The sequence below is a fragment of the Homo sapiens genome, chromosome 12, assembly GCF_000001405.40.
Source record: "Homo sapiens chromosome 12, GRCh38.p14 Primary Assembly".
In the NCBI taxonomy this organism is placed as follows: Eukaryota; Metazoa; Chordata; class Mammalia; order Primates; family Hominidae; genus Homo; species Homo sapiens.
The window spans coordinates 117,832,320-117,857,507 of NC_000012.12; the positions used below are offsets into that span (position 1 = coordinate 117,832,320).

At 47.8% G+C, this 25,188-nt stretch overlaps 1 protein-coding gene and 1 long non-coding RNA gene across 10 annotated transcripts in view, besides 2 other annotated features; one reads left to right on the plus strand and one right to left on the minus strand.

The window, feature by feature from the left end:
* KSR2 (kinase suppressor of ras 2) overlaps positions 1 to 25,188 on the minus strand; it is a 515,979-nt gene that overhangs the window by 379,308 nt on the left and 111,483 nt on the right. For all 7 annotated transcript variants that reach the window (XM_011538224.4, NM_173598.6, XM_011538225.4 and 4 more), the window contains exon 3: positions 23,109 to 23,259. In XM_011538224.4, the coding sequence (XP_011536526.1) occupies positions 23,109 to 23,259 (151 nt within the window). The remainder of the gene's footprint in view (positions 1 to 23,108; positions 23,260 to 25,188) is intronic.
* On the plus strand, positions 447 to 11,459 carry LOC105370011 (uncharacterized). Of its 3 annotated transcripts, XR_945401.3 has the most exons (4): positions 453 to 540; positions 1,846 to 1,918; positions 4,715 to 4,765; positions 11,376 to 11,457. It is a non-coding gene; the product is annotated as an uncharacterized LOC105370011 (long non-coding RNA). The 3 variants fall into 3 exon arrangements; XR_945403.3 differs by lacking the exon at positions 4,715 to 4,765 and having other exon boundaries at positions 447 to 530; positions 11,376 to 11,459; XR_945400.3 differs by lacking the exon at positions 4,715 to 4,765 and having other exon boundaries at positions 11,376 to 11,459.
* Positions 3,900 to 4,445: an enhancer, noted in NCBI's record as "H3K27ac-H3K4me1 hESC enhancer chr12:118274024-118274569 (GRCh37/hg19 assembly coordinates)". NCBI's record gives its function as "activates a minimal SCP1, AML or CMV promoter by ChIP-STARR-seq in naive H9 embryonic stem cells {active_cell/tissue: H9 hESC(naive)}" and the evidence as "EXISTENCE:reporter gene assay evidence [ECO:0000049][PMID:30033119]".
* Positions 14,649 to 15,166: an enhancer, noted in NCBI's record as "OCT4-NANOG-H3K4me1 hESC enhancer chr12:118284773-118285290 (GRCh37/hg19 assembly coordinates)". NCBI's record gives its function as "activates a minimal SCP1, AML or CMV promoter by ChIP-STARR-seq in naive and primed H9 embryonic stem cells {active_cell/tissue: H9 hESC(naive and primed)}" and the evidence as "EXISTENCE:reporter gene assay evidence [ECO:0000049][PMID:30033119]".

A 25,188-nucleotide genomic window follows, 5' to 3' on the forward strand; every position in this document is an offset into this window, starting at 1 on the left:
GTCCGCATCCACATGTTTTAGGGGAGGAAACCAGAGCTACAAGGCAATTTATTTCAACAGAGAAATTCCCCCCTCTTCTTTGCTAATGGCTACAGATAAAGCTACAGACCCAGCGTCATCAACAAAAGTAGCAATTGACATTTGTTGAGCACAGAGAATGCAGCAGGGCTGAGCTGCAAGCTTTTATCTGCATCACCTCACTGCGTCCTCAATGCCACCATCTAAGGAAGATGCAGGTATTGTTGCAGTGTTCCTGTTACAGAGAGCCACGGAGGTCAGGCCAGTAGCTGCCTGATGTCACAGAGCAAGCTGGAGGCAGGATGGCATCAGCATTCCAATCTGCCCTTTCCAGAGCCCTAGAGAGCAGGGTGCTCCTTCAGACCCCAGGCCTTGTCTCTAGCCCTTCCTAAGTCATCTCACTTCTCCCTACTTCTCACCTTCTGCCTTGGGTCCAACCTACTCCTAGGCTATGAAGCCATCCACCAGCCTTACCTAGGCACAGGCCAATGCACTGCTGCCTGGGACAACAGGTCACTGCAGGTGATGGGTTTACGTCCCTTGAAAATCAGTCTGAACTCTTGAAGTCCACGGGCTTTCAGACAGACCCAGGAGAGACCAGTGGCATGACCCTGGCCAAGTGGCTTCTGCACAGCACGTGGGCTCCCAACAAATACCCTGCCTTCCTTTTGCTCTTTCAGAGCCTTCGTGGGGCGGGGGGTGGTGGAGGCGGGAAGGTGGGGCGGTATGTAGTGGTGGTTTCACCCTAAGTTCTGAGCACAATGCTGGCTTTGTGACTTACCCAAGCTGTGCGGCCTTTGCTAGGCCCAGGCACCTCTCTGAATTCTATCTCCTCCCTTTTTACAAGGGACGGGACAACTCATAGCTTAGAAAGTTGTAATAAAAATCAAAGGAAGTCATCCATGGAAATTCCTCACACATGATGTGTCTAGCACACTGTAAACGTGGACCAATGCCTTATACATAGTAGAGGAATGTTAAATATCTGTGCAGAAACCCTTGGGACAGGAGTGCATTTGGGGGTGGGGGTTGGAGTTTTCTTAGAGACAGGGTCCTGCTCCGCCACCCAGGCAGGAGTGCAGTGGCATGATCATAGCTCACTGCAGCCTCAAACACCTAGGCTCAAGAGATCCTCCAGCCTTGGCCTCCTGAATAGCTGGGACTACAGGCACACACGACCAAGCCCAGCTGATTTTTTTATTCTTTGTAGAGAAGTGGTCTTGCTATGTTGCCCAGGCTAGTCTTGAACTTCAGCCTCAAGCAATCTTCCTGTCACTCAAGCAAGCCTCCCAAGTCACTGGGATTACAAGTATGAGCCATTGTGCCTGGCCAGGGGTGCATTTTAAATCCTCTTTTTCCACATTCAGTGGCATCATGAATATTCAGAAAAGACCACCGGACACTAAGTCCTTCCTTCATGAAGAAATCTACAAGCTCTTTCATCTCAACCTATTTTGAACCCACCTTGATGTCATAATTCCCCTACCGTGATTTCCCAAAAAATCACAGTATCTTGTCTTAGAACCGGCAACACCTGGCGGGGCACTTTGGGAGGCCGAGGCAGGCGGATCGCTTGAGCCCAGGAGTTCAATACCAGCCTGGGCAACATGGTGAAACCCTGTCTGTACAAAAAAAAAAATTTTCATTAAAAAAATTAGCCAGGTATGGTGGCATACCCCTATAGTTCCAACTACTCTGGGGGCTGAGGGAGGAGGACGGCTTGAGCCTGGCAGGCAAAGGTTGCAGTGAGCCAAGATCAGGCTACTGCACTCAAGCCTGGGCAAGAGAGTGAGACCCTGTCTCAAAAAAAATAAAAAAAAAAAACAGAACTGGCATCACCCAAGAATCCGAAGGACTCGGCTGAATAAAGACCATGATCCGAAGTTAAAAGGAGTTTCAGGTAAATTCTGCTTCCACCCTCTGGTCAGTGGTACAAAGATCAAAGGAAAGTGGATGTAGTTGAGTACAACTCTGTCCTTCTTTCCAAAATCCAAACAAAACAAGTACACCTTTTCCAGGGCACCGTATGTTACTGACTTCAATACTGAAAGTTTGCAGGCAGCTTTGACATCACAAAATGGTCCAAAAAGATACTGGGGGTGGGGGGCGGGGTAGGGATTTTTTTTGAGCTATGGTGATTTGAATGAAAAAAGAAACTGTCCTGAGTAGATTGGAGATTTGGCATTTGATAGGCAATAAAATAAAATAATCAACCCAGGAGGCAACAGGAGAAGCCCAAACATAGCCTTTGAACTCAATGGAGGGGTTTATTCTCCTAGAAAACTTCCCCTGACCTTGCTCGGGCTGCGGTGAGGCTCCTCCTCTGGGCTTCCCAGCCCCTGTGCTTCCCCAGCCTGAGAAGAGCAATGAGAATCATACTAATAGTAATATATGATAATCACACTAATACCATGCACTGAGTACTTCCTACAGCATTTGAGCTGAGACCCAAATAATGAAAAGGAGCTGGCTCACAGAAACAGTATTGCAGGCAGAAGAAACAAATGCAAAGGTGGGAATTAATTTTTTTATGTTCAAAGAATCCAAAAAAGGTGTCACTGAGTGGATATAGGGATCAATGCAGTAATAGTAACAACAGTTAGAAGCTGTGCGGGTAAACCAGAGAGCCGTCTTCGAGGGCAGGGATGCAGTTTCTGCTGGCAGCTCACTGGCTGGGCATGAAAATCGAACCCGAGACACAGAGTCCAGGGAAAAAGGGGCTTATGGGCCATCCATCCTGTCCTCAGGCATTTGGCAGACCAAGACACCAGGCTCAGTGAGGCCATGTGGCTGACCCAGGCTCCCATAACCAGAGAAGTCAGGGGCAGAGCCAGAACCGAAGCATCCTGCCTCCAGCCCTGAGCTCCGTCTGCTGTTGCCCCCTTTCATGGGTGATCAGGAGCTGTTTATCTGCAAAACTGATGGAAGTTTTAACAAGGTCCCTGGGGAGACAGGGAGAGATGGTGCATGTATGTGTGTGCATGGCGAGTTGGAGGGAGGGTGGTATATCACGGTTCCTCGCTTTCATCTGGTTCCTGTTAATTGGACTAAAGACCCCTGGGAAAACCATGCTCTGGGCATGATAAGCCAAACCCCAACTCAGTTATGGTTTTCTGTGCTTTACAGAACCTCAGTGTTCACAAAAGCTCCTGGCTTTCATCTGGCCTCAGAATACAGAAGTTGTCGTCAGTGTCGTCATAATCATTATCCTCCTCCTTAGAACCAAAGCGGCTATGTTCCTGGAGCGCTTAGGATCAGTCAAGCCAGTGGCTCTCAGCCCAGAGTGATTTTGCCGCAGGGGACATTTGACAGTGTCTGTAGGCATTTTTGATGGTCACTACCAGGGGCTAGGGGGTTGGATGCTACTGGCATCCAGTGGGTAGAGGCCAGGGATGCTGTTAAACATCTTCCAAGGCATGGGACAGTCCCCACCACAATTTTCCAGCCCCAAATGTCAACAGTGCCAAGGTTGAGAAACCCTAGGGGCTAGCCCTTTTTGTGCTGTAATTGGAGACCACCAAGAAAACCTCCTACTTGGGACCTGAGATGTAATGACTGACATCAGAGAGGATTAACGATGAGCACTGTTGTTAAGCAAGGCCGCCTACCCTACAGCCTCCAGACAGTCTGCAGTTAGGAAGTACCCTCCGTAAACTGACAACCCCCTACAGAAAATCCCTTTAGTCTAGAAACTTGCCCACTCTTGGGGAGTAAAAATATTTCCATAAAAGACTATTGGGAAACTTTTCCCAACCTCCCAAATATGTTAAAAGAAGATTGCGATTGGGTGCTAACTTTTTTCTGCTCCAAAGTACTAAAAGGGGTCAGAACACTGTCTTCCATCCACAGGGCAGTAGCATCGTCAAGTTTAGGGCCTGATGGAAGTCACAGGCAACACCCTCAACTGTCGGTACCCATCATGGAGTGGACTTCAACAGCTCTGGGGCCCCGAGACCATTCAGTTCCTGTGGAATCTACCTTCCAGAAAGATACTGGAGGCAGAACAGGCAATGCCAACACCGTACTTATTAGGAAATGGAGAGAAACCTTTCACTTCACCATTCTCTTTGGGTTGTATGATTCCCAATTCACCCCAGCCAAAAGGAGCACAGCAAAGTCCCGCTCAGATGGAGAGGTTGTCCCAGACAGAGGCAAAAGCACACATCACCTCCCTTAAACATCACAACACTAAAAGACTCGCTATCATGATGCCTGTTTCAAAGACAGAGGTTCCGATAGGGAAGAGGCTGGACCCGTGGCCCAGGCAGGACTCACATCCCAGGCTCAGGACTCATATGCCTTCCTGACTGTGCCACAAACCAACCAGGGCAGCTGAATGACGCAGCCGGGAGGCCCAGCCCCTTGCCAACTGTGGCCCGTGTCTTTTTTATCAGTGCACCCCACTGCAGGGAATGTGGCAAGCACCAGAACACTGATTTCAACTGAAGCAAGTCCAGCCACTTCTCATCGTAGCCATTCTTTAGACAGCCTCTCGGGAGGGCTCCCATGCAGCTGGGGGTGCCCCAGGCCGGGCCCCAAGCTCTTTCCAGATGTCTCCCAAGGGAATGAAGCCACTGCCTAGAGTTTTTTCTGTCGCTTCGGAGCTCCCTTTGCATCTCCACTAGTTATTATTTGGAGGCTGCATTTCAATGTTCCTTCTTTACAGTTCATTTTCTCCTCTTAATTGGTCTTGCAGTGTGGCAGGGAGACCAACGCAAGAGCATCATGACATGAATGCGGAAGGAAGGTGAGTGGCAGCAAGGCCCCGTCGGAGTAGGCTGCTCTGATAGATGCCTCTGCCGTTCACTAGGGGCCAGCCGGGAAAGAAACCCAGGGTCTCCCCTGGCTTCCAGCCTGCCTGCCGAGAAAGCTCGGTCTGTGAAACAGAATTAAGCCAGCATTAGTCCCTGCTGTAGCTGGGTCAAGCCCTCCTCCTCTCTCAGACTCAGTTTTTCCTTACTTAAAAGTTGAGATGATCAGACCGAGGTTCCTGCCAGTTTCTACATTACTATGCATCTTGTGCACCGATTTCAAGACAATTTTGACGTCTCCGCTAAAGGAAGCTTATCGGGCAGCGCCTCCTGGTGGCCAAACATGACACTGCGCCATCAAGAGGTGGCCCTGGTCGTATGGTGTCCAAGAAAACACTGGGAGGAAAAGGCATCCCAGTGTCTACGGCCAAGCAGCTACGTGCCCCTAACTTTTTCAAGCAAGGAGCCTAGGATTGAAAGCAACAATGCAGCCCTGACGCTCAGTTCCTCCACCCTACGTGATCATGATGGCACAAGGTCTTTACAAGTGGAGCTTGAAAAATCTGTCAGCCCGAGCCACTGAGAGCATCCTGGTATCCGGTTACAAAGCTGGTCTGCCTCATTTCTCCTCCACAAAGTACCAGATAGAGAAGGAAAGAAACAAAGGCGCTAAAGAAAGAAAATGATCAGATGATGAAGCTAAACTGAGCTCTGTTCCCAAGGACAGGGCTGATGTTGGGGGTAGGGAAGTACCGTCTCCCACCCTCCCAACTCAAAGCAACAGGTTCTCTGTGTGGGGAAAGGAGGACCATTTAAGGTTTCCTGTTTGAAGAGTGAAGTCAGTGGGGGAAATTCGGAGTGTAGGGCAACCCCACATTTCTGAATCCCATCAGGATGGTGGTCACACTCACCCAAAGAAAGCCACAGACTCCTATATAGGAGTGACCTTCAGAGAGTACTATCCAGACAGCATCTGTGTACAGCACTCCAAAGACAACGAGATGTGGTCCCCACTCCCCAAAGAACTCAGTCTGATGCAGAACAGACCCCAAAAGTCAGCACAATGGACCATGCATAACGTTTTGGGTTGGGTTTTTGAGACGGAGTCTCGCACTGTCACCCGGGCTGGAATGCAATGGCACAATCTCAGCTCACTGTAACCTCTGCCTCCCAGATTCACGCAATTCTCCTGCCTCAGCCTCCCAAGTAGCTGGGATTACAGGCGCACACCACCACACCCAGCTAATTTTTTGTATTTTTAGTAGAGATGGGGTTTCACTGTGTTAGCCAGACTGGTCTCGAACTCCTGACCTTGTGATCTGCCCACCTCAGCCTCCCAAAGTGCTGGGATTACAGGTGTGAGCCACCATGCCCAGTCAGGACCATGTATAATGAAAGTTTTGGGTGAAACTGATGTGGGTTTGAGCACAAGCTCTACCAGGTACTAGCTGTGTGACCCTAGGCATCTCACCCTCTCTGGGCGTGTGCCTCCTTCCTGCCTTCCCCTGAGCACTTACTATAGGAAGTTCTTGATCAATTACAGCCCCCTATAAATGTTGTACCACTTGTGCAAATATTCATTCACCCCCACTACAGAGTTCTCCACAGTCAATGCCTCCCCAGCCTCTTCATGTATTTATTGCCCTCCTCCAAAAGGAAGTTCTTCTTTACATCAGACCAAAATCTCCCCTGACTTAGACATGTATGTATTTGTTTTAATTGACACTCACTATTTCTAGCTTGGTCTTTTACAAAAAGGGTTAGCAAACATTTTCTCTAAAAAGCTTGACAGTAAATATTTCAGGTTTTGTGGGCCATACGGTCTCTGTCACACTACACAATTCTGATGTTGCAGCGTGAAAACAGCCATAGACAAAGTGGAAACAAATAGGTATGGCAGTGTTCCAATAAAACTTTATTTACAAAAGCAGGTGGAGGGCTGACTTTGGCCCGTGGGCTATACTTGGTCAACCCCTGTTTTAGAGAGAAAATCTCTCATTATCTGATCACTATCCCTCCCACACGATCTCATTCCTGATACACAGACAGAAAGTGCTTTGGCTTCACTTCTCTCCCCTAGGGCAAATTATAAAGGCTTCAACCTTCCCCTCCAAGGACATAATTTCTGTGATTAGATTATGACAGTTCATTTGTTCGTTAATTCATTCAATGATACTTTTGCAACCATGCTAAGTAGTTTGTAGGAAATGAACAAAGTGCTGCGTTTAGAGTGTACGGTCTGGAATCAGCCCGAGCTCAAGTGCTGGTACCCCGCAATTTACTGGCCATGTGACCTTGGTTGGGTACCATGGTTCACCCCTCTGTGCCTTCATTCTCTTATCTGAAAACTGGGGAATACAAAAGTCCCTGTCTCATGGGGATATCTGACGATTAAGTGAAATAACCCTCAAAATCAGCTCAGAACACCGCCTGACACTCAGTATGTTTTTAATATTTTATCGTTATTATTTTGTTTATTAAAAGATGGCTCTTGCTATCTAGGAATTTCCAGTCTAATATGGGAGATTTAGATATCAAAGCAACTACAAGATAACTGCCCAATGACTATGGCCGAAGATCGACACAGGTGCAATCAAGGAAATCCTCCCCGCAGTGGTCAGGAGTTGCCTAAGCCATGGGAAGGTTTACTTTAGAAAGATGCAGCCCAGAAAGTTTTTCCTTTTGAACAGATGCAAAGGGACGGTGAATCAGTGAGAAAACCATTGAAACCTGGGAGGTCAGAGCATCCTGCCCCACCAGGCATCAGCAGCAGAGAAGAAAGTATCACAGTACAGATGAAAGTAAGCAAACAGGGTTCGAGGAGGATTCTTTTCCTTCAAACTTTCTCATTTAAGTTACACAACTACTTATTTGTTGCCCAGAAAGACAGAAAATGCAGAAGGGCAAAAGAAAGAAAATCATCACCCTTAACCAAAGAACAGCTATGCTAAATATCCAAGTGGATTTCCTTCCAGACTTTTTTCCCATTTTATTTTATTTTACTTTATTTTATTTTATTTTTTTTTTTGAGATGGAGTCTCCCTCTGTCACCCAGGCCAGAGTGCAATGCGCAATCTTGGCTGTCTGCAGCGTCCGCCTCCAGGGTTCAAGCCATTCTCCTGCCTCGACGCTCTGAGTAGCTGGAACTATAGGCGTGCACCACAACGCCTGGCTAATTTTTGTATTTTTAGTAGAGATGGGGTTTCACCATGTTGGCCAGGCTGTTCTTGAACTCCTGACCCCAGGTGATCCACCCACCTTGGCCTCCCAAAGTGCTGGGATTACAGGTGTGAGTCACCACACCTGGCCTATTTATTTATTTATTGAGATGGAATCTTGCTCTGTTGCCCAGGCTGGAGTGCAGTGGCATGATCTCAGCTTACTGCAGCCTCCACCTCCTGGGTTCAAACAATTATCCTGCCTCAGCCTCTCAAGTAACTGGGACTATTGGCATGCACCACCATGCCCAGCCAAATTTTATATTTTTAGTGGAGACAGGGTTTCACCATTTTGGCCAGGTTGGACTCAAAATCCTGACCTCCAGTGATCCATCTGCCTCGGCATCCCAAAGTGCTGGGATTACAGGCGTAAGCCACCACGCCTGTCCCCATGCAGCTGTTTAAAAAATACTAAGCCAGGCATGGTGGCTTACGCCTATAATCCCAACACTCTGGGAGGCCGAGGTGGGCGAATCACGAGGTCAGGAGTTTGAGACCAACCTGGCCAACATGGTGAAACCCCGTCTCTACTAAAAATACAAAAAATTAGCTGGGCATAGTGGTGGGTGCCTGTAATCCCAGCTACTTGGGAGGCTGAGGCAGGAGAATTGCTTGAACCTGGGAGGCAGAGGTTGCAGTGAGCCGAGATTAAGCCGCTGCAATCTAGCCGGGGCGACAGAGTGATTCTGTCTCAAAAAAAAAAAAAAATTGCTAAGTAACATACCAATGTGGATGCAAATTATGGTCAATGCGGTGCTTTCTTTTTCTCTCCCAAACAATAGCTTGGGTACTTCTCACACGAGTGTATAAGTTGGTAATCAGGGAAATAATTAGAGAAAGCAAAAAGCCACCTGAGTGAAAATCATGACTATAATGAACTGGAGCCATCTCCCCTCAGCATATTTTAAAGGAAGGCAAGAATAATTTTGCTCCAAATAATAACAAATATTTTCATCCTCCTTGCCCTTTCTGCCTTCCCCCTGCATGTTCCCTGCAAGTTTCAAACATAATCATGCGCCCACAGAAGCCTCCCATCCTCCCTCAGGACCGTGGCTGGGAAGGACAGAGATACTGATGGAGAGTCAAATCTGCTGGGAATGTTCCCATCTGTGAAACTGGGCGTGCAGCCTAATCTGCCCACCACTCATATGGTTGCGAGGCTAAAACAAGATCACCTGCATGCAGGTGCTTCCTAAAACTGAAGGTGCTCTGCAAATGTGCAATATTATTTGATATTTACATGCAGCCTTTAAATAATTTCTTTTTATCTCAGTTCCAGTGTAAGCTGCTACAAAAGCCCCAAAGGGTTGCTCCCTCAAGCTGAGCAAATGGAAACACAGGGACCACTCAGAGTTAAGGAGAAAGCCATTCATTCCCACCACTTTTTTATGTGGGAAGCCTCCGCTTAACAGGAGTCAGACAGAAATGAGTTCAAACCCCGCCTCTGACACTTAGTTGCTGTGTGACCACCACCCCCCTCCCAGGCAAGGGCTCTACCTTTCTGAGCCTCAGTTTTCTTACCAGAAAATAGGAATAATAATCCTACGGACCTCATGAGGTTGTTGAAGAATTAAATGAGCAGGTGCTGCGTGACTTGGCCCAGTAAGAACTCAATCAATATTTGTCGCTGCTGTTATCATCAACCACTAGCATTCACTCAGTCACTCCGTGACTACTTCTTGCATTCCAACTCTGAGCCAGATGCAGGGAGAATTCCAACACAGGGGTTCTCAAAGCGTGTTCCCCAAACCAGCAGCACCAGCGTCGCCTGGGAACTTGTTAATGCAGATTTCTGGGCACTGCCCCGGACTGGCTGAAGCAGGAACTCTGGGAGTGGAACCCTCTGGGGGATTCTGATACATGTTGAGGTTTTGAGCACCACTGTTCTTGTGGAAAGGGGTATGAAAATAAACAAAATCATTTTAGATATGCTAGAGACTATGATAGGATAGAGAGTGGCCAGGATGGAAGTGGGACTCTGAGAAGCTGGCAGTTGGGCTGAGTCCAAAATGACAAGGAATCAGCCAGAGGAAGATTGAGGCAGGGTATTCCAGGCAGAAAGAAGGGCTGTGCAAAGGCCCTGGGGCAGGCGTTGTGAAGAAGAGAGGGTAGCTGGGTGCAATGAGCCAGTGAAAACATCAGCAGATAGGGACCAGATCGGGAGCCCAGGGACAGGACTGGGGGTCTCATTCTAAGATGTAATAGTCTGTTTGGAGCTGACTCAGTTCATGTAGTTTCATGGAACCCACAAACCTCAAAGAGTTCAGGCCCTGCCAAGCACAAGTTCAATGTCAATTCTGCACCCAATTCTTCTGCCCAGCACCTCGTGGATGCCAGGAATAAAAAGAGAAAGTGACTACAGCGCTGATCAGAGATGACAGCCAGAGAGTCGGGTTCTCTTTGTTCTCATTGGGGGGGTTCCACAAAAGCCAGATGCTGGCCACATGAAGCAGCAGGTGGGCAAGACAGAGGGGGCAGGGGTGGCCTGCAAGAAAGAGAAAGTGGGCTGCAGGGGGACAGGACAGGTGGATGAAGCCTTGGACCAGGTTGCTCGACAGGGGTTCTGCTGCAAGACAAAGGCTGGAGAGGAAAACATCCTGCCCCTCCCTCCACCCCTGCCTTAGTGGGGACCAGTCAGTGGCTCTGTAGGAAGACTTCCTTGGTTCAGATTCAGCTTGGGAAGGAGGGAGGAGGAAGGAGGGAGGGAAGCTGACTTTAAAAACAATAAAAATAATCACAGTCCAGTACATATTCAGTGCCAAATTTGCCAGACAAGTGTTTATACGAACACAGTGTTTATATGACTTCATTTCTTTCCTTGCAACAACTCCATGAGGATGATACAACTAGCATCCCCATTTTACAGATGAGGAAAGCAAGGTAGTTAGACAGAAAGGGAACACCGAGGGATGAAGGAGGGAGAGAGGAAGGGAAATTGACTCATGGATTTAGTTTAGCCTAGAACGAGTTAAGTGAAATCCAACAAGTCCCTTCCCTTCTTTAATCCCCTCCAGTGGTTTCCCATTCTACTAAGAAGCTGCCAGCAATGGCTACAAGGGGCCTCAGGAACTGAGCCCCGACCATGTCTCTGACCTCATCTCCTATCTTCTGCCTCCTCTCCCAGTCATGGATTAGCCCACTGACAACTCAGTTACACTGGCACCCATGCTTCCATGGCACCCGTGTTTCCAGAATCCCCTTCTCTGTGTGGTTCCAGATTAGAGCTGGCCAAAAGTGAAGTTGTACAAGGCTTGGGTGGCAAAAGAGAAGGAGCCATCATGCCCTGAAGAGTAACATGGGTTGAAGGCAATGGGGAACAGAGGCTGGGGTGCTGGTCCTGTTTATCCTCCATCTTCCCTACCTCACAGCCAACTCTTCTTCCTGACAGTAGTCCCTCAATGACCAACAGCCGACCTTAAGTTCACCACCAGATGCTTCATGACAAACTCACAAAGGCAATAGCCACAAAGGGCCAACAACTTTCCCTGGGCATCTATCCAAGCCTGTCTTCATGGTCCCTTCCAACAGCTGGACGTATTGGCTGCCAGATGTCCCTGAAACCGCAGGCTGCCTTACCTATGTCAGGGTAGGTTCAAGACCTTTCTCTGAATCTTAAGCTTCCCTTTTTTTTTTTTTTTTTTTGAGCTTGTACCTCCCCAGCTCTTCCTACGGTCGTATAAGTCTAACATCTAATAAATTCCATTTTTTCCATTATACTCACAGTAATTTGGCTTCCCTGATTGACCCATCACTGAGATCATCACTAGCAGAAGGGATACTGTTCCAGAACTAGCAGCCTCCATTTCCTCCTCCTTGGGATGTGTGTTGTGAGAAGCTCATGTCACATAAAAGGCAACATGTGGGCACCTAAGCAGATAATCCCCAACTGAACACCCACTCAACAACTAGTGCCAACTGCCATCCATGAGCATGCACCATCTTGGATGTTCCAGCCCAGTCAAGCCCCAGATGACTGCAGCTCCAGCCAACAACACACGGAACAGAAGAACCACCCAGCTGAGCCCAGCCAATCCCTGAGCCCAGGGAATTATGATGATGAAACTATACCCTAAAGAGTTAATGAAACCAATGACAGAAATTACTGAGTTTGCAGGATAACAGATAAGAAAAAAAAACAACTTGCTGAGATGCTGAAATTCCCTCCTCTTCTGAGTATTTTTTTTTTTTTAACTCACAAGTTTTTTAAAAAGTTGGCAGTGGGCTAAAATTAATTGGAACCAGGATGACCAACTGGAGATTGTGCACAAGTTTGCTGACATCACAGCCCAAATTTCCACCACATATTTCATACTAACTTCTCCCAAATTTGCATATGCAACCTATGAAGTAACATAAAGAAATAAGTACACACACCCAAGGACTTTCCAGACTTCCCCTTTCCCTCCACCAACCACCTGCTAATCCCAGTATCTACCCCCTAAGCCTTTCCTAATAAAAATACTGCCTTGAAGCCAGCCCAGAGTGGCAGATTTGAGCTTGACTCCTGTGTCCTTGGGAGTCAACTTTCAATAAGAAGCTTTTCTTTTCTCAAAAACCTGGCCAGGCACAGTGGCTCATGCCTGTAATCCCAGCACTTTGGGAGGCCGAGGCAGGTGGATCACGAGGTCAGGAGATCGAGACCATCCTGGTGAACACGGTGAAACCCCGTCTCTACTAAAAATAGAAAAAATTAGCCAGGCGTGGTGGCGGGTGCCTGTAGTCCCAGCTACTTGGGAGGCTGAGGCAGGAGAATGGCATGAACCCGGGAGGCGGAGCGTGCATTGAGCCAAGATAGCACCACTGCACTCCAGCCTGGGCGACAGAGCGAGACTCCAACTCAAAAACAAAAAACCGGCGTCATAGTATTGGCTTCTAGTGCATCAGACAGCGAGCCCCTTTTGCTCGATAACAATGAGAGATAACAAGGCAGTTGTGTTGAGCCACTAGGTTTTGAAGTGCAGGTCTGAGACACAGACCCACGCAGCCATGGGTCCCCACAACCACTGGCCATGTAAGCCTGCCTTCTGCTTCTTAAAAGTGCTTCTGAGACATGCATTTGAGACCTGTTTGCTCTCAGAATGCTCTTCCCCCAGATCTTCTCCTGTCTGATGCTTTCTTGTCATTCAAGTCTCAGCTTAAATGTCATCTCCCCAGAGAGGCTCGCTGTCAGTTTCAGTGTGAACTTGGTTAAGCGATAGACCCCAGTTATTCAATCAAACAACAATTTAGGCATCAGGTGAAGGTTTTCTGTTGCTGTGATTAAAGTCTATAATCAGGTGACTCTAAGTAAAAACTCTCCTCTATAATCCGGGTGAGCTGATTCAACCCATTGAAATTGAAATGCCTTAAAAGCGGAACTGAGACTCTTTTTCTTTCTTTTTTTTTTTTTCCTGAGACAGGGTCTCGCTCTATCACTCAGGCCAAAGTCCAGCAGTGCAATCTCGGCTCACTACAGCCTTGACCTCCCAGGCTCAGGTGATTCTCCCACCTCAGCCTCCTCAGTAGCTGGGATTACAGGCACACACCACACCTAGCTAATTTTTTGTATTTATTTTTTTTTTTCAGTAGAGATGGGGTTTTGCTGTGTTGCCCAGGCTGGTCTCGAACTCCTGCACTTGAGCAATCCACCCTCCTTGGCCTCTCAGAGTGCTAGGATTACAGGCGTGAACCACCGCACCCACCCAGAACTGAGATCTCTCCAAAGAAAAAGAAATTCCACCAGCCTGCCCTTCCTAACAGCCTGCCCTTCCTAACAAACAGCCTGCCCTTCCTAACAGCCTGCCCTACAGATTTCAGACCTTCCCAGCCAGCCCCCACCATTGCATAGGCCAATTCCTTGCAATAAATCTCTTAATATATCTTATTGGTTCTACTCCTCTGGCTGAACCCTGACTGACCTGCTCTGATCAGCCCATCAAAGCCAGCCACAAAGCCACCATTGTTTCACTTCAGTTTTAATTCTTGCATAAAACCTATTACCATTTGATTTTTTTTTTTTTTTTTTTGAGACAGAATCTCACTCTGTCGCCCAGGCTGGAGTGCAGTGGCATGATCTTGGCTCACGGCAGCCTTGACCTCCCAGGCTCAGGCAATCCTCCTGCCTCAACCCCTCAAGTAGCTGGGACTATAGGTGTGTGCCACCACACCCAGTTAGATGGATTTTTTGTCTATTTTTTTGTACAGATGGGGTCTTGCTATGTTGCCCAGGCTGGTCTTGGACTCCTGGACTCAAGCGATCCTCCTGCCTCAAGCCCCACAAAGTGCTAGGATCACAGGCATAAACCACTGCGCCCAACTTGATATTTTTCTTATTCATTGTTTCTTCCAACATATTCTAGAGCAGCACTGTCCACTAGAATATTCTGTGATGATGGGGATGTTCTAGAACTGTGCTATTGCAATAGGGCAGCTGCTAGCCACCTGTGGCGATGAACAACTTGAAACATGGCTCCTGAGAACGAAGAAGGGAATTTTAACTTTTATTTAATGAATATAAGTTTACCTGGTCACACGAGTCTGGTGACCGCTGTACTGAACAGTGCAGGTCTGGGACACAGACTGATGAGAACCCACAGCCAGCCAGCCTTCCCCACCACTGTTATCCCCAACCCCTCCTGGCAACTGACACAGGGGGAGTTCCAACCGTGTTTACAGAATGAATGAATGGAGCCATTTGCGCCTAAGCGCGTTCGCATCAGGTTTCTGCCGCTCGTAAGCGAGAGTCCTAATTTGATGCTATCTACATGTAAGGGATTCCTGAGTGCCTACAGAACAGGAGGGCTGGAGAAGTTACAGGGGAAAGGAAAGACATCAGTGTCAACACCAGAACATACGAGACCCTGTGGGCTCCGGGAGGAGCAGCTCTTCCTCTGCCAGCCCAGCCTTTCCCAAGTTAGAAGCAAGTAGAACAATAGGGCAATCAAGACCCACTCTTAGTCTTTGTTCCAGTCAAAGGAAGACCGTACGGTGGCAGGCGGCATTCTGGGGGGCTTCATTCAAAGCCCAAACTGGGAAGAAGCCAGAGGGCATCTGAGGCTGTCCTATTTCGGGGGCCACTCTGCATCCTGTTTTTCTCCTGACTGCCAGTTCTCCCCCTTGATACTCAAGAGAAGAAGCCAGAGGAGGGCCCAGGCAGGCAAGCTCCCAGGAGGTTGCAGGGGTGCAAGGGCACCTGCCTGTCTGCAGCACCCTGGCCTCCACTCTCTCCCCTCCGTGGCTCCCTGAGCCCCCGAAGGATTCCCAGCATCTGTCACCTGCTCTAAGCCACCCATCGACTCTGCAGCCAGAGTGTTATTTAAAAACCGGAAAAGAGATCCAGACACCTTCTGTTCAGCCTACCCTGCTTACTCTGCAGTGTAAGCTCCTTGCCATGGCCCACCGTGGGGGCTGGCCCTGCCCACCTGTCTGGCTCCAGCTCCCACCACTCTCCCCAGCATCCCCACTGGGCACCCATACTGTTCTCTCTGTGCCTGGGATGCTCCCCTCCCTCCCGTCCCAAGGCACTTCTGAGTGTTCCCATCACTCCCAGTCATTAAGACTTCCCCTCCTCTTCAGGTCTCAGTTCAATCCTGAAGTCCTGAGAAAGTCCCTGAGCCCTGGAACCCAACACTGTGTGTGCCAGATGCAGAGAAAGTGCTTGATAAACACACGTGGGAGGGGGAAAAGGAGGGAAGGGTAGAAAAGAAGGAAGGGGAGGAGGAAGGAAAGCAGTATCTCCCATTATCCTTACATAAGCATATTCGTTTTAAAAAAGGAAAACAATATCCACAACACAGATCTTCTATTATCTTGACCAGAGGTTTTTCCTTGGGAAAGGAAAGATACAGATGACCACAAATTATGAGGCTGAAAACCATCAAAATGCCAAAAAGAAGAGGAGAGAGAGAAAAAGAACAGCAGAGAAGAGGAAGAAGGCCACAGCAACAGCACTCTGATAGCTGGGCCACATCTCCGCCAGGCTCTCTTCTGATAAGACAGCTGTGGCCCAGGACAGGAAGGTCTAGGAAGGGACCCTGCTGTCCTCAGACGCTGAAGTTCCCAGTTTTGGAATGGAGTGGGAGGTGGAGACAAATGGTGAGAACGTGCTCTTCCTGCAGCCAAATCAGTTTCACCCTAGGACCTCAGCTCTGTAGTAACCACGGAGGAAAACTAGGGCTGTGCCCAGAGAAAACTGGTTTGAGGTTTTGCCTCTATTTTTGTGGCCAGGGAATGGTAGGTTACCTCTGGAGAACAATCAAGCCAGACAGAAGGGGAGTAGTCTCAAAAGAAACAGCAGTGCTGAGGGAGACCGTGGCTCAGAGGGAAGGGAAACAAAGAATGAGAGTGCTTAATTAGAAAGGCTGAAGCCCCTTGGAAGGGCCCCTTGGAGGAAAAAAGAGAGGAGGATGAGGAGAAGTGGAGAAAAGTGAGCTGGGGGAAGAAAAAGGCTGGAGGAGCCTGGTGATGGTGATGGCGATGATGGTGGTAATGATGGTGGTGGGTGGTGATGGTGGTAACAACAGTGATGGTGGTGGGTGGTGATGGTGGTAGTGGTGGTGATGGTGATGATGGTGATGATGGTGATGACGGTGCTAACAATAGTGATGGTGGTGGTGGTGATTTGCCTGTATCATCTCATGTAATGCTCCCAGCAACCACTGTGGCCCACATGATCATCATCCCCATCCTGCTGCTTAGGAAACAAAGCACAGAATCATAATATGTCGTATCCACAATCACACAGCTAATAGGTGGCAGAGCCAGAACTTAAACCCAAGTTTGTTGGACTCCAGATTCCATACTCCTAGAAGATGATTGAGGACTAAGAAGGAGAAAGGAGAAAGAGAACGGAGGCTGCCCTAGCCACCTTATTTAATATGATGACCAGTCCCTCCATTCCAGAGGGCACTACCAACCCCGCTTAGCCTGCTGCACGTCTTCTTTAATCCATAGCACTTATTCTCACACACTGCATAAGGTACGTGATCATTAAGACAATAATTCATTGTCTGTGCCCCAGCCCCCCACACTAGAAAGTAAACTTTATGGAGACACACACCTCAGCACGCATTTCTAGAGATCAGAAGAGCACCTGGCATAGAATAACCATGCAACCAATTTCGTTGAATGAGTGAATAATGGTTTTTTGGTTTCAGGACATAGCTGCCACGAGAAGGAAAGGTTAAGCTATCCTGGCTCTGGGATCCTTTGATCTTGCTAAATGAATGAATGAGTATTCTTTGGTTTCAGGCTAAGGGTGATCTAACAAGCTATGAGAAGAGAAAAATGAGTTAAGATTTCCTATCTTCGGGGCTCCTTGGGCACTGGAAAATAAAGATATCCCTAAAACCCAAGGAGAAAACTAAGATTAGCATTAACATCTCTAAAATAAAGCTACCTCCATCCTCTGAGAAAGAAAGAGAGAGAGACAGACAGACAGACACAGAGACAGAGACAGACAGGGACAGAGAGAGAGAAAGAGATGACATTCTTGGCCAAGCACAAAGCAGCCTTGCTGCCATATCCTTGGTCTCCATATGAGTTCCTCAATACAACTTGTCTTCTGTCATTTAACAAACATGCATCCAGCCCTCACTTTGGGCCAGAATTTTAAAAACCTGATTTCATCACTGTAGGAAACACCAGCTCTGGGTTGAGCTGGGGCTATTAAGATGAATACAATATCACCCTCAAGAAGTAAGAGTATGATGGGAAAGATACTAGTTTATTCCTCAGTCTGGGATAACATTTTTAGAGTAAAGGAAAGCCATCCAACTCCCAAGATGGTTAGAAGCTTCAAGGAACCAATTATTATTTTTGAGGGAAGAAGGGAATTCCAAACATGAAGGATACTTTGAGGATGGCTCACTGGTTCCCCCTGGTGGACATTAATAGCAAGCACATCACACAGCTTTTCAGAGGTAGGGAGGGGCTCAGCGGTGTAGACCTGGTGGTCACTGAAGTATCTGCTGTTCCGGTAGCCAAGGCAAGAGGTCAGCTCAGTTTGCAGAGCCCAGGAAAGGCCTCATAGAGAACCAGGCTTTGCACTGGGCCTGGGGAAGAGCAGGGATTCACCAGAAGGACAAAAGGAAAGAAAATTCTAGGCAGAGGGATGTGAGTACCAAGATGTGAAATCCAAGCCTCATCTAGAAAACTCTAAGTAATTCATGAATTTAGCAGATATTTAGGGCTTGAAGGGAAAATGTGAATGGTAGGACTTCAAGTAGGAGCCAAACCCTGGGATGTTTTCCAATCCATGAGGAAGACTGTGTTCTTTAAGCCACTGGTAAGTTTTCAAGGATTGCTTGAGCTCAGGAGTTCGAGACCAGCTGGAGCAACATGACAAAACTCTATCTCTACAAAAAATACAGAAAAGTTTGCCAGGCATGGTGGCACACGCCTGTAGTCCTAGCTACCCAGGAGGCTGAGTGGGGGGATCGCTTGACCCCAGGAGGTAGAGGCTGCAGTGAGCCAAGATTGCGCCACTACACTCCAGGCTGGGCAACAAAGCAAGACCCCATCTCAAAAAAAAAAAAAATACACATGTATTGAACCATTACTATGTGCTAGATATTGATCTTCCTGGGAATTGAATAGTGAGCAGAAACAAGTATGATCCCTGCCCTTTTGCAGCTTACAGTCTAGTGGAAAAGAGAGGCATTCATTTAAAAACAAATTGCTCCCCAAAACAGGTAAGCATTAAAATGTTTTTAAGTGGCACCATCACCTGCAGGAACAGCATACGTGAAGTACAGTGTTAAGGATCAGAACTGGGTACACAATTCTTTACTAAGAAGTCTGAGTTGAGCTGACTTCAGTGCTAAGTGCTGTAGGAATGGGTTAAAATGGAGCACTTGGTCATTGCTTTCAAGGTCCCAGTGGCCCTAAGGCTGGCATCTGAGGCAGGACATAGAAGACTGAGTCTTAGCAGCCTGGGAAGAGTCCAGAGGGAGGCCTATGTGGAGGTAGGGGATCAGTGTAGGTTCAAACCATAGTGAGGTGTGTAATGAAAAGTGCTGCTTGACCAAGCATGGGGACACATGCCTGTGATCCCAGCACTTTAGGAGGCCGAGGCAGGAGGACTGCTTGAACCCAGGATTTCGAGACCAAACTGGGCAATGACAAGGCGAAACCTAGTCTCCACGAAAATTAGACAGGTGTGGTGGTATGCACCTGTAGTCCCAGCTACTGGGGAGGCTGAGGTGGGACAGTTGCTTGAGCCCAGAAGGTCGAGGCTGCAGTGAGCTGTGATCACATCACACCACTGTACTCCAACCTGGGTGACAAAGCAAGACCCTGTCTCAAAAAACAAAAAATAGAGGCAGGCCAGGCACGGTGGCTCATACCTGTAATCCCAGCACTTTGGGAGGTCGAGCCGGATGGATCACCTGAGGTCAGGAGTTTGAGACCAGCCTAGCCAACATAGGGAAACCCCGCCTCTACTAAAAATACAAAAATTAGAGCAGCATGGTGGCGCATGCCTGTTGTCCCAGCTACTCAGGAGGCTGAGGCAAGGGAATCACTTGAATCCAGGAAGTGGAGTTTGCAGTGAGCCGAGATCATGCCACTGCACTGCAGCCTGGGCGACAGAGAGACTCCATCTTAAAAAAAAAAAAAAGAAAGTGGCTATTACTAGCATCTACTAAATGATATAGAATAGAACAGGAATGAATTTACAACATCTTCATCATGCATAAGAAGGAGGAGTATTGTTTCATGAAACATGCTATAATTGTGTATGTGTATGTGTAGCTGTGTGTGTGCATGTATGTGTACCTATGTGTGTGGGGGGGGTCACAATATAAATTGTACTGTCCATCTGGATCAAAAAAATTTTTAAAAAGATCAGAGGACAGGGCCAGGTGTGATGGCTCACACTTGTAATCCTAGCACTCTGGGAGGCCAAGGCAGGCGGATTGCCTGAGCTCAGGAGGTCAAGACCAGCCTGGGCAACACGGTGAAACCTCGTCTCTACTAAAATACAAAAAAAAAAACTAGCTGGGCGTGGTGGCATGCACCTGTAGTCCCAGTTACTCGGGAGGCTAAGGCAGGAGAACTGTTTGAACCCAGGAGGTGGAGGTTACAATGAGCCGAGGTCGCACCACTGCACTCCAGCCTGGGTGACAAGAGTAAGACTCTGTCTCAAAATAAATAAATAAATAAATAAAAATCGGAGCACCAGAACTTTCATGGTCTCGCACAGCCTAGAATGTCACAAAAAAATGACTATTCTTCCCCATGGTCTCGCACAGCCTAGAATGTCACAAAAAAATAACTATTCTTTCCCATAAGGCTGACATAAATGCCTCTCTCATGGAAACTGGAATCTCACTCTACTTTTAAGGATGCTGCCAAACTCAGTAGTGCCTCCCGGATGAGACAACATGAATTCTGAAAAGCAATTAAAAACCTAACCTCAAACGCTCACTGTCAGGCATTGTGCCGGCATAAATTGGTACAAACTTTCTGGAAAGATATATGACAATGTTCACCATAATTTTTAAAATATGGGTTTTTTGTTGTTGTTTTTTGTTTTTGAAATGGAGTCTCGCTGTCACCCAGGCTGCAGTGCAGTGGCACAATCTCAGCTCACTGCAACCTCCACCTCCCAGGTTCAAGAGATTCTCCTGCCTCAGCCTCCCAAATAGCTGGGATTACAGGCATGCGCCACCAAGCCCAGCTAAATTTTTGTATTTTTAGTAGAGATGGGGTTTCACTATGTTGGTCAGGCTGGTCTCAAACTCCTGACCTCAGGTGATCCACCGGCCTCGGCCTCCTAAAGTGCTGGGATTATAGGTGTGAGCCACCACGTCCGGCCAAAATATGCAAATGTTCCACTGCAAGACCCCTCTCCTATGAATTCACTGTAAAGAAATAGCCACGGGGGTCCCCAAAGATAACACTCAGGGGTATTCACAGCAGCGTTGCTTATGATAGGAAAAATATGGATATTTCCAAAAATAGGAGATTGGTTGAATAAATTGTTAGTATTCAGGTATTAAAAATAAGAAGTGAATGCATTTATTGACAAAGGAAGATGTTTATGACAACACTGTAATTTGGTGCAATTTTTTTTAAGACAGGACCTCACTCTGTGGGCCAGGCTGGAGTTCAGTGGTACTATCTCAGCTTGCTGCAGACTTGACCTCCAGGACTCAAGCAATCCTCCCACTTCAGCCTCCCAAGTAGCTAGGACTACAGGCGCATGCCACCACACCCAGCTAATTTTCTTTTTTTGGTAGAGGTAGAGTCTCTTTATGTTGCCCAGGCTGGTCTCAAACTCCTGGGTTCAAGCAATTCTCCCACCTTGGCCTCCCAAAGTGCTGGGATTACAGGTGTGAGCCACCATGCCTAGCCTGCAATTTTTTTTTAAAGAGAGAAAACTGCCATCTGCTTCTCACTGTGGGTAAAGAGAGAAAGTCACCTTTGGAGCAGATTTTGTATGTACTGAGTGACTGAGAGGCCCCTCCCTGTCAGCCACACTCATGTTGGGTGAGTCAACACCATTGTGCTAGAGGTAAAGAGTAACATGACCTTTACAGCTCGTCAGCCAGGAGTGATTTTGCCTCCCTGGGAACATTTTGAAATATCTGGGGATATTTCCATGTGTCATGACTTTGAGTTGGGGGATGTTACTGGTATCTCATGGGCAGAGGTCAAGGATGCTTCTAACCAAACATCCTTCAACACATAAGACAGCCCCCAGTGCATGGTCTGCCCCCCATTTTATTTTTGAGACAGGATCTTGCTCTGTCACCCAGGCTGGAGTGCAGCAGTGTGATCATAGCTCACTGCAGCCTCAATCAATGTCCTGGGCTCAAGTGATCCACCAGCCTCAGCCTCCCGAGTAGCTGGGACTACAGGCGTGTGCCACCACACATGGCACATTTTTTTGTATTTTTTGTAGAGACGGGGTTTCGCCATGTTGCCCAGGCTGGTCTGGAATTCCTGAGCACAAGAGATCCTCCTGCCTTGGCCTCCCAAAGTGCTGGGATTACAGGCGTGAGCCAGTGTGCCCGGCCGCATGGTCCCTTTTGATGCTGACTGTACCTGAATCAGGATCTGCCAGCAAGAAAAAATACAAAAGGGCACGCATGGAGGACTGGGCCGATGACCTGTTTCAAGTATGTTCTGTTTTGTTCACCGCTGCCTTCTCAGCCCTGCTGGCACCCCATAGCCACTCAGATTAGAAGACTTCTCCAGGCCTAGAACAATATTCAACAAATGCTTGTTGAATAGAGCAGGTTGAATCAAGCAAGGGCATCTGTGAGCCTCCACCTGACTCTGCCAGACTGATGCTCAACAGTGACACCTTGTGGTGGGAACTGCAACAACCGTGCTGATGGCCACTAACACTTCTCCGTGGCTGGCATGTGCAGAGCGGATCCCTTGGGACAGAAAGGCCCCAGAATTTGCAGAAAAATCATGAGGCTAAAGAGAAGCAGGAAGCCTCAGGAAGATGATATCTGATGTTCTGCTAATAAAGACAAACAGGTATCTGAGCAATTAATGGAAAAGATCCAGGAGGGATGACAATATATTTGGCCCCCAAACTGATAGAACAAGTCACAGAGGTTATTTTATTAGGTGAAAAAAAAAAAAATTTAAGCAATATGTGTGGATAATTCTATTTTTTAAAGTATACATATATCCATTTGTCAGGAAAAATTATACCAAAATGACAAGAGCAGTTACCTAGAGGGTGGAGCTTAGGGTGATTTTTTTAAAATCTATTTTCTGGTTTATGTTACAATTAATGCAAATTACTTCTGTTAAAAAAAAAATTAGAAGCTAGACATTGACCCAAAATGCAAAGCCACGTCAGAATGTCTAAAGTAAAAAGACCCTGGTCTCCTATTCACACTCAATATTTTCATATCTGGACCCTAATTATCCAGAACCAGATACCCTAAACCTCAGCGGGTCTTCCTGGGGCAAGAGTTCAAATCCAAGAGCTGCCCTTGCTGGTGTCTTCCGGCCTCCAAATCCCAGGTCCACGCTGCCTCTTCCTGCGTTTCGGATTTGCCCCCCAGGGTTGACTCTGTCTCGTCCTGGCCTGCAGTGGCGGGCACGGGATGCCGAGGGACCGCGGCAGCTGTGCTGGGGACAAGTCTCCACATCCCCGACCCCGGGGCCTGCTCACCTGACATGTGGACATTCCTGAGGCAGGAGAGGGAGGCGTTGAGGCGGGCACACTCCTCCCGGTTGGCTCCGTATTTCTCCACAGTCTCGCACACCTGTTCATCCGTCATCTCCAAGAGGTCCTCCAGGCTCAGCTGGCCGGGGGAGATTTCCTAGAGGAGGGGAGAAGGATTGTCAACCGTGGGGCAGGAACAGCATCTCTGCCTCCACGCTGCCCTGTAGTGGTGCCTAGAGGAGAACACTCCGCAGTGTAAACGCTTTGCATGACAGTGGGGTCTCCGAATCTCGGGTTTGCCACTCATTATCTAGATAACCTCTGACCAGTCGCTCAACCTCTCTGGGCCTCACTTTGCTCATCTGTAAAGTGGGACTCCTAAGTGTCCATACTTGGCAAGGTAGCGCAGGTGCTTAGTGCTATTATAATTACTACCCTGTCTGGCGTCAACACTGTGCCTGTCTCTCGAATGTTTATAAGGCAGGGCCCCATTTTTTCATGTTTGCTTGGCTCTCAGTGCCTCCCACTCTGCAGGGACTCATCTAAAATCCCAGCACAAACTCAGAGCAAGCACAGGACAAGGCAGGTGTGCTGGTGGCTGGGTCCCACTCTCTCTCTGCTTCCTCTCTTCTCTGGCTGCAGGGTCTAGGGCTCACACTGGTCTTCAGAAACCCTAATGGAAAAGGGGCTGAAAGTCCATGCCCCGTGCTGGAAATGAAACTAGGTTTGTTTTTGAGCCCCATGGGGCATGGCTTTGCATCCTAAGGCAAAGCAGAAACACTGGAGTATAGCGTGGAGTGGGGGAAAGGGACCTAGAAAAGGTAGGATTCCCAACTTAACGTGTTGGGCAGGTGAACTTTCACCGCCACCCCATGTTCCCAAAACAGTGTCTCCCTAGACCATCATATGGACACACCTCAAAATTTGTCAAGCTTCTATATTTATGCATCAGTATCTGTATGTATATATGAGTCTTCTTTTATAGCACTTACTACTCAACATTTTAACATATATTGTTATTACTTAAGGGTTTTTTGCCTTTTTTTGTTTTTTGTTTATTTGTTTGTTTGTTTTGAGACAGTCTCGCTCTTGTTTCCCAGGCTGGAGTGCAATGGCGCGATCTCGGCTCACTGCAACATCCACCTCCCGGGTTCAAGCGATTCTCCTGCCTCAGCCTCCTAAGTAGCTAGGATTACAGCCACTCACCACCACGCCTGGCTAATTTTTGTATTTTTAGTAGAGACAGGGTTTCACCATGTTGGCCAGGCTGGTCTCAAACTCCTGACCTCAGGTGATCTGCCCACCTCAGCCTCCGAAAGTAAATAAGGGTGAAATAGCCTACGGATGGTGTTTCTAGGGCAGTATTGCGGAATACATCTACCCTCTTGTGGTCATGTTTGTGTATTACAACAAGATACAGCTCCCACATTAAACTGATAGCCAGAAAGAAGAAAACTGTCTCAGTACAAAAAATTATCTTCAAAAATATGAGCTATGGTGCCTTTTCAACTCACCCAGGCAGGCAGGGGGCAGAGAGAGAAGAATAGTGGAGTCACTTAGAGGCTTTCTCAAATAGGGACACATTGCTGGTGAGCCCCTTTAAGAAAGGTGATGACCACGGATCTGTTTATTTCTGGTTGTTGTTTTTCTTAAATAGAGACAGGGTCTCCCTCTGTCACCAGGCTGGGGTGCAGTGAGGCCATCATATCTCACTGCAGCCTCAAACTCCTGGGTTCAAGCGACCCTCCCACCTCAGTCTCCTGAGTAGCTGGGACTACAGGCATGCACCAACATGCCTGGCTAATTTTTAAATTTTTTTGTAGAGATAGGATCTCACTATGTTGCCCAGGCTGGTCTCGAATTCCTGGCCTCAAGTGATCCTCCCACCTCGGTTTCCAAAAGTGCTGAGATTACGGACTTGAGCCACTGCACCCAGTCCAGGATCTGAAGGTACAGAATGACTCATGTTTGAAGGGGGTGATTCATAACATAAAAGGATTCTCCTCTTTGCTTCAGGATTCACTTGTGCATTTTAATCTTATGATTTATATATGTATATATTTCAATTTACTCTAAAGCTTAAGTT